The sequence below is a fragment of the Homo sapiens genome, chromosome 7 (genome assembly GCF_000001405.40).
Source record: "Homo sapiens chromosome 7, GRCh38.p14 Primary Assembly".
Taxonomy (NCBI): Eukaryota; Metazoa; Chordata; class Mammalia; order Primates; family Hominidae; genus Homo; species Homo sapiens.
In genome coordinates, this window is record NC_000007.14 from 135328555 (window position 1) to 135347741 (window position 19187).

Sequence of the window (19187 nt, forward strand, 5' to 3'; positions counted from 1 at the left end):
CTCACTTCAGCAAGTTTTAGAGCAATGAAGAGTAATTTCTTGCACCCCTGATTTCGCAGACTCAGAGTCCTACCCTTCAGTGTGGAGACTCAATCTGGTTGGCCAAGACCCCTCAGGCAGAGCATGTCTGTATCGGGGACTGGTCGCAAACCAAGACAGAGCCATGCCTTCGAGGCAGTGGGGAGCCCAGGCAGAATCGTGTACCTCTAGGTGGCCCGGGTTCAGAGTGCACTCCTTAAGCTGCATGGGAGAGGGTCCGACAGACCACTGTAAATGCCTTCAGCAGATTCAGGGCCATCACCAGGATGAAGAATGGGGGTGATGAAGATGACTAGAGGCAGTGGACCAGATTAATTCCTGATTCCCAGGAAAATATCTAGAAAGAGAAGGGCATGGAGGATGATTTTTTTTTTTTGAGATGGAGTCTTGCTCTGTCGCCCAGGCTGGAGTGAAGTGGCGTGATCTCGGCTCACTGCAAGCTTCGCCTCCCAGGTTCACGCCATTCTCCTGCCTCAGCCTCCCGAGTAGCTGGGACTACAGGGGCCCGCCACCATGCCCGGCTAATTTTTTGTAATTTTTAGTAGAGACGGGGTTTCACCATGTTAGCCAGGATGGTCTCGATCTCCTGACCTCGTGATCCGCCTGCCTCGGCCTCCCAAAGTGCCGGGATTACAGGTGTGAGCCACCGTGCCCGGCCAGAGGATGATTTTTAAGCCCTTTATGACAGACTGAGAATTTCTAAAAGAACTGACCTTCCTCCTGGAGAGAAAGAATTTTCCCTCCGGGGAAGTTCTGAAGCACCTGTCAGGGTCCGCCCTCTGGGGCAAGAGGCTTTCTACCAGAGCCAGCAGCCCTGGCTGGCACTTGGCAGGTGTCACCAGCCATCAGGTGGGGGCACCTCTAACTGAGCAGCCAAGACAAAGGGCCCCAGTACCCAGCAAGAGGTTGGGGGGCCCAGTGCAGAGACTGAGCTAGGGGAGAAACATGAACCCACAGCAAGGCTAGAGGAAGCAAGGGAGAGAATGGGGACAGGCCTCCAGCCAGGAGGAGGGAGGAGAGAATTCTGCCCAGTGTGCAGGCTCCACAGCTGTCCTGAGAGATCCTGGGAAAGTCTCACCCACAGAGCAGGCAGTCTGAGTGGAGCAGCCACTGACCAGGGATATTCAATTTGGGCAGAGCCTAGTTCCCCTCTTCTTTGTGGGGACACAGACTTGTTGGGAAGAAAACTGTGGAAGAACAATGCTTGAAGAATAATAATTTATTTTTTTTTCCTCAAGTATTTTCCTCTTTCATTGCTTCCCTTCATTGTGAGAGGACAGAAAGTAAAATACCTGTATATCTGTCACGTGCTTTTTTTTTTTTTTTTTTTTTTTTTGCTTCTTTGCATCCGAAGGTTTTACCCATGCAGGAGTTAATGCTGGATACCTCAGAGAAAAGAGCACTATTTATAGAGAAAGGCTTTCTCCCTGCAAGTAGTTGGTTGGAGGGTTGGTAGGTGAATCGTGAGACAAGGAACATAAAGACAGCTGGATGTTGGTATGTTCCCAAGAGGTAACTGTGCCCCATTCCTAGGTGAGAGTCCAGAGGGGACAGCAAGAACCCAGAGAGGGGACATCTGTGTGATGGGTCCAGAGAGTCATTGCCACAAACAGCACCCCCACAGGACACAGAAGCAGTCAAATGACTGATTCCTGGGTCCTCAAGCCTGACTCAGAGTTGGTCACGATGGCTGATGCAGCCTTCTCAGTGGGGACATATGTGAACTGAAGAATGTGGACCACACAGATGATAGACACCTCAGGGACACCTGAGGACTGGGACTCAGGGCCAGATGGGACCTTCTTTAACCCCTTGGCACAACAACTGGAGCTCAGCTGCAAACCCCAGAGACAGGGAGGACCCCAAGTGCTGGGATTACAAAGTGCTACCATGCCCAGCCAAGAGTTTTAAAAGGGAACTCGCAAAGCCCCAGCAGAATGGAGGTTCACAATAAAAGTTAATGTTTTTCACCTGTGGCCCATCTGCAGTTTTTTTTTTTTTTTTTTTTTTTTTTGTTTTTTTGTTTTTTTGTTTTTTTGTTTTTTTGTTTTTTTTTGACTCGATGTATACTTGTTATGGGCACCTTAAGGAGAAAGGAGGGCTGAGCCACCAGATCCCAGAACATTTCTGCAGGCTGTGACTGTGGTCATACAGGCCACAGATGAGACAGAATCAGAGTGTTTGTCCTTTCTGCATGCCACCTGCATAAAAATGCTCACACTGAGGATCAGCCCTCAAGGAGGAGGCCCAAGGTCATACCCTTCATTGTACCATCCCTGATGCTGTCCTTACAGTGGTGGTGTGCTGGCACCCAGCTCCATCACTAGACAGAGTTGACTGCAGCTAAGGGATGTGGGAGCCCAGGGCTGAGGAGCACCTGGCTCCTGCATGACTGATATGGTTTGGGTGTGTCCCCACCCAAATCTTATCTTGAATTTTAACTGCCACAATTCTCATCTGTGGTAGGAGGAACCCGTTGGAAGGTGATTGAATTATGTGGGTGGGTCTTTCCTGTGCTGTTCTTGTGATAGTGAATGAGTCTCACGAGATCTGATGGTTTTAAAAAGGGGAGTTTCCCTGCACAAGCTCTCTTCTCTTTGCCTGCTGCCATCCACGTAAGATGTGACTTGCTCCTCCTTGAATTCTGCCATGATTGTGAGGCCTCACCAGCCACATGGAACTGTAAGTCCATTAAACCTCTTTTTCTTTCCCAGTCTTGGGTTTGTCTTTATTAGCAGCGTGAAAATGAACTAATACAATATCCTTCCACTGTAACGTGCAGCACTGGCTCCTCTACGTGAATCAACTGCAGCTGGGAGGTGTGGGGCCCAGGGCCAGAGACTTCTAAGATCTGACGTGTGGAATTCCTACAATTGGCTTTATAAGAAGAGAATGGTGCTTTTGGCTTCAGGCCTTTTTTTTCCCCCTCAATTCTTCTTGATAGGAGTTTGACCTAAATATATCTTGCTCACAGTTCCATCTTCATCTTCTCTTTCATCACTTCTAAGGGAACTGAGTAGCACTGGCTTGGGCTATGAATTGAAGAGCAGGCCGCTGCTTCTCCTGGGAAGCACACAAGGTGGTTCTCATAGTGGTTTCTGCCCCACTCTGACCAAGACCCACCTGTCCTCAGTCCTCTGCTGAAGGCCAGCCTGGCAAGATGTTCAGAGGCTAACAGGTCCTATTGATGTCAACATCCCTTCCCACATTTTGCCTCCACCGTCTTGCAGAGAAATTTTCTGAGAAGTAGAAATCTAGACTATGAAAGGAGGAAGGAACTATGGAAGAAAGTAAAGCCCAGAGAAGGAGGGAAACTACTTGGTCAGTCTCCTTGTCTCAGTTAATCCAACATCCAACAAACCACCCAAGCCACAGCCTGAGCATCAGCCTTGTAAACTGGTCCACCATATGCAACTGTTCCCAAGTTCCACCAAATTCACTTTGTAGATATTTCTCATGTGTGTTCCATTCTCTCTGATGGTAGCAAATATATTAACCTCATCTAAGCCCCTTCATTACTTCTTATTCAATTCTATACTGGCTTCCTTATGTGTCACATCACAGCCTATTTTCTTCCACTAATTGATTTTATGCACAGAAGTCTGGGTAAACTCTTAAAACATAAATCTGGTCATGTCCTTCCCTTTTAAAACTCTTGGCTGGGCATGTAGCACTTTGTAATCCCAACACTTTGGAGGGCCAAGACGAGAGGATTGCTTGAGGCCAAGGGTTTGAGACCAGCCTGGGCAACATAGCGAGACCCCATCTCTACAAAAATAATTACAAAAACTAGCTGGGCATGGTGGCACACACTTGTATTAGCTACTCAGGAGGCTGAGGTGGGAGGACTGCTTGAGCCCATGAGTTGAAGGCTGCAGTGAGACATGATTGCACCACTGCACTCCAGCCTGGGTGACAAAACCAGTCCCTGTCTCTAAAAACATAATTGTAGTAGGCCAAGCACAGTGGCTCATGCCTGTAATCCTGCACTTTGGGAGGCCGAGGCAGGCAGATCACCTGAGGTCAAGAGTTTGAGACCAGCCTGGCCAGCGTGGTGAAAGCCTGTCTCTACTAAAAATACAAAAAATTAGCCAGGCATGGTGGCACGTGCCTGTAATCCCAGCTACCCAGGAGGCCGAGGCAGGAGAATCACTGGAACCCAGGAAGCGTAGGCTGCAGTGAGCCGAGATCATGCCACTGTGCTCCAGCCTGGGCAACAGAGTGAGACCCCATGTCAAAAAAAAAAAAAAAAAAGATTGTAGTAGTCTGTTTTCATGCTGCTGATAAAGACATACCCAAGACTGAGTAATTTATAAGGAATAAGAGGTTTAATGGACTCAGTTCCACATGGCTGGGGAGGCCTCACAATCATGGCGAAAGGTGAAAGGCACGTCTTACATGGCAGCAGGCAAGAGAGAAAATGAGAGCCATGTGAAAGGGGAAACCCCTTATAAAACCATCAGATCTCATGAGACTTCTTCACTACCACGAGAACAGTATGGGGGAAACCACCCCCATGATTCAATGATCTCCCACCAGGTCTGTCCCAAAACACATGGGAACTATGGCAACTACAATTCAAGATGAGAGTTGCATGGGGACACAGCCAAACCATATCAATAATAAATAAATAAAAACAAAGGAAAAATTAAAAACAAAAAAACTCTTCCTGGCTCCCCCATGCCCTGAGGATAAAGTAAATCTAATCCTTAGCACATCCTATGATGTCTTTCATGACCTGATTTGGCTCTGCCAAGCCTCACTGCTCACCACTCCCCTCCCACACAGCACCTCATACACAAGTAGGTACACAGCCAGTAACAACTGGATTGGCTCAGATTATCCAAGTTGACTCAGCATGTATCAGTCACTGAGTAGTGTCTCTGCTCTCTTGGGCCAGTTCTTTGTCCATAAAGAGGTAGGCCTCAGGGCCCTCCTTCCACTGTCCCAGGCTCTGACTATAAAACAACAGGGGATCTCTGAAAGCACAGGCTGTGCTCCGGTCCTCTGTGCCTGCGCTCAGGATGGACAATGTGAGGCTGGCCACTCAGTGGGTAGACCCCCAAAGCAGGAGCTGCTGCTCTCATTGCCCCAGAGGAAGTCACAGGATGGGCTTTTCTTTAAAACTCTAGAAATCTGATTTCCATTTCAGAGGGTGAAACAGTTGCTCAGAAAGGGGCACGGCTTTACCAAGGCCCTTCTTCATCTCCTTTGCTAATTTTAAAATGTACCTGAGATTTTGTTTTTGTTCGGTTATGGTGAGGCTGGCAGATCAGGACATGACAGCCACTGAAAAGATAGTTTATTACAGTTCGTAAGAGGAGGAGGCACACCATGCCATGCAGAGCCACACAGAGAGGCACCAAAGTCATCAGAAGGCAGAAGGACTGGGGAGAAAGTGTAGGCAAAAACCTTGATTGTGATTTTCATGGGGAAGTATGGGTGACCCATGCTAAACAGCTGAGCAGGCTTAGGATTGGCTGGTTTGAATAATTCTGGCAGGCTCTAAGGTACAGGGCTGTCTCTAGTTGTCTTCCACCTGGCCCTAGGGTGTTTATGGCATGAAGACAGTGGCTCAGCCTGATAAAGGAGGTGGTTGAGAGTATGGGCTCTGGATTGGTTAGTTTGCAAATGACAGGCAGTCTTGAAGGGAAGTTATTTGCTACCTCTAAAAACACTCTAAGAATTGCTCTAGAAAGGCAGGCTGTCTCCAGTCAGAGAACCCCAAATCCCAGATCATTAAACATACGAAAAATAAGAAAAGATAGATAATACAATGCTAGATGGGTAGACTTTGGGTTTCTCACCAGTACACTGCTCACCGCAGCAGTCACCCAGTGGCCTTACCTTTGCCACCATCCCCTTTGTTTTTGTTTCTGTTGTTGGGTTTTTCTTTTTTTTTTGTTTTGAGACAGTGTCTCACTCTGTCACCCAGGCTAGAGTGCAGTGGTGCAAACCTGGCTCACTGCAGCCTCAACCTCCTGGGCTCAGGTGATACTCCTGCATTGGCCTCCTGAGTAGCTGAGACCACAGGTGTGCCACCACCATGCCCAGCTAATTTTTAAATTTTTTTGTTGAGATGAGGCCTCTTTTTCTTACCCAGGCTGGTCTTGAATGCCTGGGCTCAAGTGATCCTTCCACCTCAGGCTCCCAAAATGCTGGGATTACAGGCATGAGCCACTGCACCTGGCCCATCCCCTTTGTAATGGCCTCAACAGTCCCTTTCTCCATAAAATGGTCCGTGGAAAAGGGCAAAGGAAGACTTCTGGGAGAGAGAATGGAGAGCGTTAAATAAAACCCTCCCATTCATTCTTCCTGAACAATCTCTGCCACTTGACAGGAAAAATAAACTGACCTTGGAGCTGAGAAGGAAGGGAGAGGGTGCCAAAGATCTCAGAGGGAAGTAGGTGCAAAGTAGCTTAGCGCTGAGGAAAGCTGCTGCAACTTGAACCACCTGCTTCTTGAGGTTCCTTTGGGGGCCAACAGGCAGCACAGCACTGGCCTGTTGCCAGGAGGAGAGTGTTGCTATTCAGAGTCCTGGAGGGTGAGCCCACACCACACCAACACATGGTGAGGTTCTCCCTGGAGGCAGGAGCCATGACAAAAGCTGCCCCTTCACTTTCTCAATCCGTCTTTGTCCCAGTAACCCCTGAGCCCTCCAAGGATGGCTTCTACAGAGCAGTGAGCACCTCTCTCTCATCCTCCCAGCTGGCTCCATCTTCTTCTCCCTGTGCTTCCTCCAGGAGCAGGTGCCACGGGGCAGCTTTGCAGCTGCTCGTTCTGTGTACATGCCCTGGCCTCATGGAAAGCCCCAAGGGCCAGGCACACTGAGCACGCACTGGCCTGTTCTGAGCCTGAGTGGACGGGCCCACAGGGAGGCAGGGGCACCAAGCCCCCCATACCCCTCCACCTTCTCAGGAGTGCTCATGCCACCGCCCCGCTCAGATGTTTGCAGGAGATGACATGGACATGATAGGAAGTCCTGGCTGCAGCAAACAGCTGCACGTTGTTCCATCAGAGAGCTTTCCCCAACCCTAATATTACCACTGGGGTCAAATGGGGCCACTGTGTGGTAAGTAGCATGTGAGAACTAAAACCCATAACTGGGCCCCAAGCCAGCATTCTCTAAGTTGATCCAGGTAATTCCTTCCCCATCCCTTGTTGGAGGAGGGGGAGGGGCGGTCTTTGATTCATCACCTTGCAGCTTGCCAGAGCCTCAGGTGACAGAAAACAAGGGCAGCAGTGACACCCAGTGGAGAAACGTACACCAGCTCCCTTCCACCTAGAGACGGGCACGGGCCTGCCCCCTGCTTCACCAGAATTCCCCACAGACCCCACCTTCCAGGGCTCGGCTTGGGTCTTGTCCATGGTGCTGACATCCTAGGATGGGAGAAATGGCGAGCCAGACTGGATGTCGATGGCAGGGCCTGACTTTGCACGTCTGCTGTCTCAGGGGCTTTAAGGCCACAGCTCACGCAGCCACCAACCACAGGTGACATCCCAAGCCTCTAATGGTGTTTCCCTGAGGCAAGCCTCAAGTCCTGGCCTTTATCAAATTGTCGATTTCTCTTCTCTCCTACAAAAAGAAGGCAAGGAGATAAAAGATAGTATTCCCAACCTACAAAGCCTTTGCAACTAATAACAGAAACCTAACAGAGAATATTAGCTGTGGGGTTTTGTTCGAACATGCCTAGGAAACGGGCATCCCTTCCTTCACTGCATTCTTTCTTCCTTCCAGCCACCCACCCATTCACCACTCAACACATTCTGGAGCACTTACTACCACTTGGTATGATTTGAGCATCGTGCTGGGTGATGGGTATATCACAGCAAGCAAAAGCAGACCCACAGGTCTCTGCCTTCATGAAACTAATTGTCTGGTAGAAGAGATAGGCATTAATCAAATAATACTACAGATCAATCCGTAATTCCAGATGTGATAAGTGCTATGAAGAACAGGCAAATGGTACTGTGAGACTATTATAAGAAGATTTTTTTACCTAGTCAAGGAAGCCAGAAAGAGCTTCCCTGAGAAAATAATGACTGTGCTTTGGTATAGGTAGATGAGTTGAGAGGGTTTGAGGCAGAGGAAGCAGCTTGTGCAAAGGCACAAAAACACTCAAGGAACTAAAAGAAGCCTGGAGTGCAGGGAGTGAGGAGGAGTGGGCTGCAAATTGAGGCTGGAGGAGTGGGCAGGGGCCAGACATGCAAGGCCTTGTTGGCCATGTTAAGAGTTTTGTCTTTTATCTAAAGAGCAATGGAAAGTCATGGATATGCTTTAAATAGGGAGGTGACATGAGCAGGTTTATGTTCCAAAAAGATTGCTCTGGCTGCTGTGTAGAGAACAGACTAGAAAGGGGAAGAATGAATGCAGAAAGGCCAGGGAGGAGGCTAGGGGTCTAGATGATAAAAGGTGGTGGCTCAGACCAAAGTGATGGTGAAGGTGAAGATGGGCAAAACTGAATGGGAAGAAATGTTTAGAAGGTAAAGTCAACAGAACTTGGTGATGAATTGGCCATGGGGTGGAATAAGGGAGAAGGAAGTATTAGAGATGGCATGGGGTTTTGGGGCTTTTTGATGTGATGGAAGGTGGGGATTTGTATTGGGTTAGAGAAAACTGGAAGAGGCCCAGGCTTGGAGTGGATGAACATACATGCAGTTGTTGAGTTCAAGGAGAATTGAGACATCCAAGTGAGAATGTCAAGGAGGCATATGTACATACAAAGGGTCTCCCAGGAGAGAGATGGAGATGTCAACACTGAGAGTCAACTCTGCATACATGGTCACTGACATCATAGGCGTGGATGAGAAGGCCCAGAGAAAGAGGACAGCATGAGGAGTGGACAGGAGGCCACTTGCCTGACAATAACATCTTAAGAATAGCCTCAAGGTACCTGCCTCAAGGGCACACAGGTCAGTCCAGGAACAGCAGCTGGAAGAAGGGGAGAACCACATTGTTAGGGTTCCCGGGCTAAGGTTCCAGTCACTGTGGTCCCACCTGATTCAAGAACTGTTGAGTGAGATCCTTGAGCAGAGAGAGGAAGCCGGGACCAGGCGGAAGGGCACTAAGCAGTGGGAAAGGGGCCCTTGGGGGCCAGGACCAGCCTTCCTTCCATGCCTCCCTTCGGCAGCACAGCCCCTGGCTGGGCTCCCTCCAGACAGGACCACTGGAACCACATAAGCCAGACCAATGCATCAAGACTGGCAGGGCCGATATGTGTCATGTTGGGCCTTGATCTGACCCTGGGGGGAATAGACACAGGAAAGGTGTGTAAACTAAAAATAAAATCCTAAGCCCCCCAACTGGCTGAACGGATCCCCTCTTGGCCAAGGGGTGCCCGGAGAATCTTGAAAAACTAAATTCCTGGCTATCATGGAACTGAGATCAGACACAACTATTACACCTGCCTCCTTTTTGCAGTTTAGACACAATGACTGAGCAGCATTAATGCTACAACAGAGGTCATAAGCCTGACGGAACAGACTGTTTGTGGCAATAAGATACCAAATTATCAACAGGACCTAGGACCATGCCAGAGAAGAGTTAAGTCATGCACCCCCCACACTTAAAGAATAAACTATGTCCAACTGCCACAAGGGTCTTCCTTTTCTCCAGCCACTAAACAAGCAGTGGCCTCAAGATAAGCAATATTGAAACAATTACAACACTTGCAGCTCACAGGCATGGACTAACCTCCTGTTCTACCAGCCATAACCACAGCTTTCATTGGACAAGAGGCTGATTGCAGTAACTCTCCTGAATAAGAAGGCCACTGACCATGGACTGGTTCTGGCCGGTTTACAGAGGCTGCACACTTGAGTGCCTTTGTGTCTCTGCTCAACTTTTGACGTGTAGGGCCTAACTGTAGTGCATTTAAATGTTAAGTCTCCACCCCAAGGTGAACATGGGTCGCATGTTACATGCATGTTTAATCCAGTGCGTCAGGACCACTTTCATGAGTATTCATAGTTCCTTCTGTAACCTGTTGAATACATATGTTTAGCCAACCCATTCCGCATAAAGCCCTGCCCCAGCTCCTCCTCCTCCTAAGGGCCTGTCTCTGGCCTTGGCTGGGGGCTACACTTCCCAGCCTGCGGGATAGGCACTTTGCGGGCTGTAACCCTTTACAAAAAATAAAGTCTCCTTTTCTAAGTGTACAGATCTTGTGATTTTTTTAAGTAAACGGGTGGGGGCTGGGCAACCTCTTCATTCCTCTCCCCACATCTGCCAGCTGGTGGTGAAGAAGGGGTCCCTTCACATGCTGAAGTTCACTCTCAGAGGCTCGGGGGCCCCGAAGCACAGGCTGTGCTGGTGGGAAGCCCACGCAGCCAACGTGGCTCTCAAAGTTTCCCTTCCAGGACCAGGCCTGCCCTCTCTGCCCCCCAGCTACCACCCAGGGAGGCAGCCCCAGCCAAGAGGAAGAGCCTGGCACCTAGAGGTACTTAGGACCCATGGAGAAGGATGTGCAGGGGTCCTGGAGCCACCTCTCTGCCCCCACAGTGCCATTTATTTCTTCACCCTCACTGGCCGATAGCCAGGCTTTCAGCCTGACTCCCAGGGACCCAGAAGCATGAGCAGGTGCGGTGGCAGTATGGGTCGTGCAGAAACTGAGCCCCCAGTTTTGAATGGTGGCTTCAGACCAGAAGCGCACTGAACTGAGAGTGCCGGATGTGGCCCAGACACTGGGTTCAGGACCAGTTTCTTCCAGCCACATTCTTGCCAGCACCCTCCAGGTCTCCATGAAGAGTCTCCCTTCCAGGTGCCAGGGCTCTAATGCACTCCCAGCCTCCCCTGCAGGGTGGGCTTTGCTCCCTGGAGCATCTCCCTGCCTCCCCACTCAGGCCCTGCCTGGGTTTCCTCAATGGCTCCCCTCTCCAGCCAACCTCATGGTGCAGGGGGAGGGTGAACACATCTGGGCCTTGAGCACGTGTCACCAGAAGCAGGTACCACCTACCCCTCTCTTCCTCCCATTTTATGCCCAGGAACTGGTTACCTGGACTTTGCTTGCCTTGAACACACTAAGACAATGCAGACCTCACTCCAATGGCCGGTCAAGGCCTTCAGTTAGATGGTCAGACAGCTTCCTGTTGATGGTGATTGGGAGCAGGAGGAGTGTGGCTGGAAAATGGCTCCGGCAGGGAGCAGGACTCTGCCCTTGTTGGCACTTGTCATCTATACATTGGCGGGAGCAGGAAGAAAGCAGTGGAGGGGCTTGTCACAAGATAAAGTGCCCATCCCCTCAGCCACAGAACACTAGGAGAAGAGACCCAAGCTCTCCTAGGAGTCAGAAGGAGCATCCGTGTCCATGTGAGCCAGGACAACCCCATCCAGCCCAGCCACAGCTCTAACCTGTTCACATCCAGGCTCCCTCTCATTTCCTCCCTTATTCTCTCCTTTTTTGCAGCAGTCTGGGGTAGCCTCCTCACGCCAATGGGCAGGCCAGGGTCACCCCCAAAAGTGCCTGCACCAGGGGCCCTATCAGTAGCTTCGACATGCATCCACCTGCTCCAGAAGCCAAGGATCTGCTTCTGCCGCATTAGCCTCCCCAGACAGCTGCCTGCCACCCACAGAGCTTCCTTGGCACAGCTGGAATCCCTGGAGCTGGGGCAAGATGCCCACATGCCTGGGCTCCTGCTATGGGCCTGTGAGTACAGCAGGGGTGACTTAGGGCACACTGCCCTCCGCAGGAGGCATCCCCTTCAAATTCTGTGGCAAGAGAGAGAAACTGTCACTCATGGCCATCTGTTCTGTCTTCTCCTTCCCGCAAGGCGCCCAATCCCTGCCTTTTCTTGTTTGAGCTGGAAAGTACAAGCCACCTGACTGGGATTCTGACCGCAAGCTCAGCCCCTGTAATGGCCTTCACTCCATTGTCAGAAAAGTCTTCCTAAGTCACGGTATCTGTTTCCTAATGGAGCTGGACTTAAGAGAACCTCATAAGAAGGCTGAGTTCACTGCAAGGGTTAATGAGGAAATCTTTAGAAAGGGGCCAGGCTGCCTGCCATGGAACAGGAGCAATCAGGACTCCTCTGAAGACCCCCACCCATGCTGTTTGCAGGCCTGAGGCACAGATCCAAATGAAGGCTTACGTACTACACACTGTGTGTCTATGGATTGAAAAGTTACAAGGCCAGCTAACTGTGAAATGAATATGCTCCATCGCCCAACCTTGATGAATATACCTTCAAAACCACCTGGTAGCTGACTTGCATTTGGAATGCAGACTCCTTGAATTCTGTGCTCAAATGGGGTGGCACAGGGAGAACAGACCTCAGCTTACAGCCCACCCCCTGCTCCATCCCACACAACAGTCCTTGGGTGTGTGCAAATGGACATCCCTGTCCTAACATCTGAGCTCTTCCATGTTCCCCCTCCCCAGCACCTTCCCTTGGTTACTCTTTTGTGAGGCCTAGGAGTGCACACCTGAGAAAGAGGCTTGCACAGGCTCTGCAAGTGGCAGAATCTTAGAATGAGAGTGTGGTCTATACAGAGGGGTCCAGGTTGGCATGTTCCTTTGGCCCCAGATTCTTTGCCCCATGTAGAGGGCATACCCAGAGGACGGCCAGAGTGGGCCCCTCTAGCAAGGCCTAAGGATGATCCTGGTAGGGCAGCACAGCCGCTCACTCTGCTACTAACAGGTGGCCAGCAGGCGGAACTACAAGCCTCGGAAACAGTGCCTCCCAAGTCCCCTCCCAAGTTGTCCTCTTGCCCCTATTGTGCAACTCTCCGCCACTCAGACTCCCAGCAATCAAATCAGATCATTTACAAAGGTGGAAGTAGAATATGGGAGAACTATATTGGATATCCAGTAACCCAGGGCTAGTAACAGTGAAGGCACTGTTACCACCCTTAGATCCAAGGGCAAAGGAGAGAAAAGGGACTGGTCCCTAGGAGGAGAAAGTCACATTGAGGAAAATAAGTTGAGAATGTGTGACCTTTGGCTGAGGGGTTCCAGTTTTCTCCCGGGTAGGGATCCAAGAGACTAAAGATTATGGCCTCACTCTCCTTCTTTCCTCTAATATTTGACTTGTGTTCCCCATTGGCCAAACTCAACCAAAGCCAGAGAGCACAGGAACCTGTTGGTGTAGCCCAGATAGGTTGGCCTCCAGGGCAGAGCATAGGATGGAGAAGGGTGGAAAATGGGTCCAGAGAAGCAATGGGAAAATATTGGAAGAGCCAGATGCTGTGGCTCATGCCTGTAATCCCAACAAATTGGGAGGCAGAAGTGGAAGGATTGCTTGAGCCCAGGAGTCTGAGGCTTCAGTGAGCTATGATTATGCCACTGCACTCCAGCCTGGAGTGAGACCCCATCTCTAATATATATGTATATTGTGCACAGCTACTAAATTATAATAACCCAGATAAAAGTAATCAGCAGCAAAGATAGAAAAAGGTTTGCATTTGTCAGCTCATGGATGCAAGAGGTACAGAGTGTTTGGCTACAGTGGGCATGTGCTGAAAAAAATTAAAAGTTTAAAAAAACTTTTAAGCTGGGCATTTGTGAACAGAGTTTTCTCTCATGACCAATCAAAACTGAAATCTTGATAACTTTGCATGTGTCCGATATCATGCTCTGAGTTGCTCAGGCAGAATTGCCAGGCAGCTCACACAGGTAATGGTAATGCTCCACCTGTGTTTCCCAACCCAAAAAGGTCTGGAGTCTTCCCAGAAAGGCCCAGCTCAGTGTAAGATGGAGGCTACAGCCCAGGGTCACTCCCTGGCCGTGGCTTGCCCACACCCTTCCACACTTCGCCAGTACTGACAAAGGCAGCCTAGAAACAGGGGTCAGAGAGGCAGAGTGTGTTGGGGGAAATGGAAGGTTTCATGCATACTGGGTGTGAAGGGACGGTGGACATTGAGTGGAAATAGCCAGCCAGCAGCTGGACATGCAGGACTCCAGCCCATAGGGAAAAAGTGGCTGGATGTGGGGGAGGACTACACCTCCTCCAACAGCAGCTGGCCCAGAGACCAGCATTCACATGCAGACCAGGGATCTACAACCCATGGAGGAGCAGGCCCATTTTCCCCCATTTCTTTTTCCTCTTCACTTTTCCCCTTTTCCCAACCACTTGCTCAACTCCCTGACCCCTGCCCTACATGTCCTTCCCTTTCTTCTACCGTCACTGCACTGAGAAGGCGATTGCACTTTCCTTACTTCATCTAAAACCTAACGATGGGCAGTATCCACCTACAAGGACCAGTTTCCAAATGAAACATCATGAAATTTAGATAGGCTACATTAAAAGAAAATCAAAAGGCATGATGCAAACTGGCTGTGATATTGGATACTTAAATGGAAATCCTACACAGTTTTCCATCAAAATGTCATCTGATCTGAGAGCATATGTACCGGCGAGAAGTGAAGTTTTCTGAATATCTGACATGAAACCTTCTCCGGGGAGCTGTTCTCTCAGCCTGACTTAGCTCAGCCTGACAAACAAACACCCGCTCAGTTCATCTTGAGCAGCGCTGATCTGAATGGGCCACATGCCAGGTTTCGCATCGTCCCTGGCAGATCTCTTAATTAACTTGCTGATACTGTCACTGTTTTGGAATGGAGCCCTACCTCTGCTATTTTAAGAGGCTTGTACTAGGAGCCCACTGTCATTCAGCCAGCCTGTCCTCATGCGTGACTTGAATGTGGGCACCATCGTGGCACAGGAAAGGGACGCTGTCTGTGTGAGGCAGCCAGGAGAATCTCATGTCACTTTTTTAGGTCTCTTCGGCCCCACATCTTTCTCCCACCTCCTCCCTGCCAGGGTTTCCAGATCAGCTCCTGCCTTCAACTAATCCATCAACCAACACCATGGCCCTAAGAAGCAAGCCTGGGAGAAGGGCTTCATTGATTGGGATAAGCCTTGAGGCCTTGGAGCCCTCCACCCCCACCCCAGGGAAGAGGACTGAGTAGCACCCTGCACAAGTGAGTTGTAGGTCAAGTCCCAGTATGGACCAGCTAGTTTTGCCACATTCCCAGTCATACACGACAGCTGTGGCCTTGGCCAATCATCTGGCAAATGGATGCCACAGTTGCAAGGTATTGAAGTAAGAATGAACAGGGAAGAATTTTCAAAATTACTTACTGCAAATCCCTCGTTTTATAGATGAGGAAACTGACCCACAAAGCAAAGCAACATAGGTATTCAGTGGTCACACAGGTGGTAGAGGTCCCACAGAAGTGGGGTCCAGGTTTCCTAACATCGAGTGTGTCACATGTCAACCGTGCGTATCCCAACCACTGGTAACGTTTAAGTCCTGACGGCTGGTCAAGAAAACCATCCTCACCTAAGAAGAGGAGGACATCATGGGCATTACTGAGGGGATTCTCTAAGGACATGAAGGGTGCTGCCCACTGAAGAATGAGCTATCTTTACAGGACCATTTGGAATTATAAGAGAATATTCGATTGAGTGGTTTCCTATCTCCTTTAGTTGAAGAGTCTCACATTTAGACCGGAGAAGAGGAATGGAGGGTGTAACAGAGATATGAGGTTTTGCTGAAGATAGTAACAACTAACAGTCAAACAAGTAAGAGTGTACTTTAATGGAAATTAAGAGTGAACACATAAAGAGATGAAGAATGAGAGTTAATAATAAAACTTTTAGTGTTATTTGCAAAGGAGATGAAGAATCGTGTATTTTTTAAAATGTTAGTCTCCACTGACTACCTCCGTTTCTTCACTTCCCATTCACTTTTTTAAAAACATGCAAGGATGTTTAATGCGGCATTATTCATAGTAGCAAAAACAACACAAAAATTATAAAACTGGAAGAAGTAAACGCCTACCAATTGGAAAATGGCTGAATAAACTCTGGTACGCCAACACCATTGAATAAAAGCCAAATAAAAAAACATAACCCAACAAATTGAATGAGGAAGCAGGTATGAGAATTTAGCTATCCTCCACCAAGCCAGACATCAAAGAAACTCACAAAAATGCAAAAACTAGTGCCACCTTCTACTCTGATTCTTGTTCCTGAAAATATAGGTATTCCTCATCAAATACATTAACTGTGCTAACATGTATGGGTTTATTATTGTCACCCTAAATGAATTGATACATAAATATCCCAACAACAGTTCTTGAATGAGGACCACCAGGAAACTACAAATTCAATTTGAAAAAAAAATTAGACAACCCAAGAGAAAAATTGGCCAAGAATCCAAGCAGACCTTATGAAAAGAAAATCCAAATGACTGCCAACTACATTAAAAGGTTCTCAATAATTTTATTACTAAATGTGTGTGTGTGTGCACGTGTGTGTGTGCGCACATGCATGTGTGTGTGTTAGTACTGCACTAATGTTAATTTCCTGGTTTGGGTCACTGTCCTGTAGTTCTGTAACATGTTAGCATTAGGAGAAGTTGAGTGAAGGATATATGGGAATTCTCGGTACTGTTTTGCAACTTTCCAAAATACTAAAACTAGTTCAACATAAAGAGTTAAGAATGTACAGTATTCAAATTTTAACATTAGAGTGTGGAAACTGATTTCTCAGCACTTTTAGATGTTATTTTTTTTCTCTGATCACCATACTACAGAGTTCCAATATGAAATTGATGCTAACCTTGCCAGTGAAGTGTGCTAGCGATAGTGATGTTGCCACCAAGTTATTAAGCTTGCCTTCCTCATTAACAGAAACTGACTAAAGGAAAGGATTTCTTCTTCTTCAGGAGGATTTGGTCAAAGGCGATGATATAATTACATTAAAGCAGCACCACAAACTAAAGCTTTGTTTGCTGCTTGAAAATTTGCTCTCTGAATAGTTTCAGAAGCAGATATAAGACTGTTGACCTGGTTATATTTTGTGTGAAGTATAATCTACATAAAGAAAGATGCACGCATGAAATTTGTTCACACACATATCGTGGATAATTTTAAAGTAAGCACTCTTGTAGTCATATAGGTCAAGAAGTATCAACATACATATTTCAGAATCCCTGTCCCATGGCTTCCCTGATCACAACCCCCACCTTTTCTAGAAGTAAGCAACTTTCTCACTTTTTAATAATCCTGCGCTCACTCTTCTCTTTCATGATATCACTTACGTAGTTTTCTTTTACCGGTTTTTAAGATTAAACGTTTACAGATATGGAATAGACCCTATGTGTTCTTTTGCATCTTGCTTCTTTCTTTTTCCCAACAGTGTGCTGTGAGACTAGTCCATCTTGTTGCATAGCTATCGTTCATTTCTTTTCATTGCTGTATCCCATTCCCTTTTTTAAAAAAATCAATTTTAATTTTTATTTAACAAATAATAATTGTATATATTTATGGAGTACAAATTTATACACTGTGAAATCATTAAATCAAGCTAATTAAATATCCATCACCTCACATACTTATCATTTCTTGGTGTGAGAATGTTTTGAATAGTCCTGCTGTAGCAATTTTGAAATATACATTATTATTAACAATAGTCACCATGCTGTGCAATAGACCACTAAAACATTCCTCCTGTCTAACTGAAACTTTGTCCCCTTTGATCAGCATCTCTCCTGTTCCCATTCACTCCACCTGGCCAGCCTCTGGTAACCACCACTCTACTCTCTACCCCTAAGAGCTCAACATTTTAAGATTCCACATAGAAGTGAGATCATCCATTCATTTTTTGATCCATTATAATCATACTTCTACCTTCCCTCTGGAAAAGGTGATCAGTGACCTCCAAATTTCCAAATCTATGAATTGCTTTCAGTCGTTGTCCCATGTGGCCTCCAGTGCGCTTGACATAGTTGACCATGACATTTCTCTCGAGAGTTTCCATGCAACCATTTTTTTTCCCGGTCCCTCCTTTCCCTCTGTTCCTTCTCAGTCTCACCAGTTCATGTTCTCCAAGATCCCACTTATGGCTCCTTTTTTCCTCCCTAAGTGATCTCAGTTCCATACTAGCCACATATTGACAACTCCTAAATTTTTATCTGTCCTCTTTCCTGAGCTCTAGTTGTGTGTATGTGTGTGTGCGCATGCTTGTGTATACATACATGTATATTTTTCACTGCATATTAGACCACACAAAGTCAAACTCATCGTTCTCTCTCTCTTAAACCAACATGCACGTAGTTGTCCAAGTCAAAGACCTCAGTCATCTCCATCACTTTCTCTTCCTTCACCTTCTCATACAGACATAAGTCCTGCCAATTATGTACCAGAAATATCTCTTAAAATTTAAGTTACTCTTCTTGGGGGAAAAAATTAAAAAAATTAAATTACTCTTTTCCTCTCTGTCCTCATGGTCATAATTCAGATTCAGGTACACTTTCTTACCAGGACTACTGCAGTAGCTTTGTTTTTTATTGTGGTAAAATAGATACAACATAAAATTTACTGTCTGGACCATTTTTGACTGTACAATTCAGTGACGTTGAGTATATTCACATTGTTGCCTGAATATCAGCGCTACCCATCTCCAGAACTTTTCTATCACCCCAAACTGGAACTCTGTACCCACGAAACAGTAACTCCCCTTCCTCCTCCCTCCCGCTCCTGGTAACCACTATTCTTCCTCTAGGAGTTTGACTACTCTAGGTACCTCATATTAGTGGAATCACACAATATTTGTCCTTTTGTGTCTGGCTTTTTCTCAATACCTTTTAAACTGGTTTCATTACTTCCAGTGTGTGTGTGTGTGTGTTTGTGTGTGTTAATATTGCACTAATCAAATACTCTCTCTCTCACACACACACACACGCACACACACTCTATTGTTAATTAGTGGGATTTTTTTCTCCTCCAGTCCTTTTTGCTGTCTTCTCTGTTCCTGTCCACTCCACCTCACCAGCCTTTGGTAACAACGACTCTACTCTCTATGCCTAGGAGCTCAACTTTTTTAGATGCCACATAGAAGTGAGAACATCCATTCATTTCTTGATCTGCTATAATCATACTTCTACCTTCCCCCTGGAAAAGGTGATCAGTGACCTCCAAATTTCCAACTCTATGAACTGTTTTCAGTCTTTGTCTCACTTGGCCTCCATGGCATTTGACGTAATTGACCATGACACTCCTCTCTTAGCTTCCCTGCAACCACGGTACAATCCAAGGTAACTTTCTAAGATACGAGAAGGCCTAGTCTGCCATGTCAAGCACAATATGAAGCCTACATTCCTTAGCATGACAGTCAAGACCTTTAAAAGTCTGGCTTAAACCTGC

General features: G+C 47.5%; 2 annotated features.

Annotated features, from left to right (window-relative positions):
* Window positions 10065-10566: an enhancer, noted in NCBI's record as "H3K4me1 hESC enhancer chr7:135023371-135023872 (GRCh37/hg19 assembly coordinates)". NCBI's record gives its function as "activates a minimal SCP1, AML or CMV promoter by ChIP-STARR-seq in naive H9 embryonic stem cells {active_cell/tissue: H9 hESC(naive)}" and the evidence as "EXISTENCE:reporter gene assay evidence [ECO:0000049][PMID:30033119]".
* Window positions 10567-11066: an enhancer, noted in NCBI's record as "H3K4me1 hESC enhancer chr7:135023873-135024372 (GRCh37/hg19 assembly coordinates)". NCBI's record gives its function as "activates a minimal SCP1, AML or CMV promoter by ChIP-STARR-seq in naive H9 embryonic stem cells {active_cell/tissue: H9 hESC(naive)}" and the evidence as "EXISTENCE:reporter gene assay evidence [ECO:0000049][PMID:30033119]".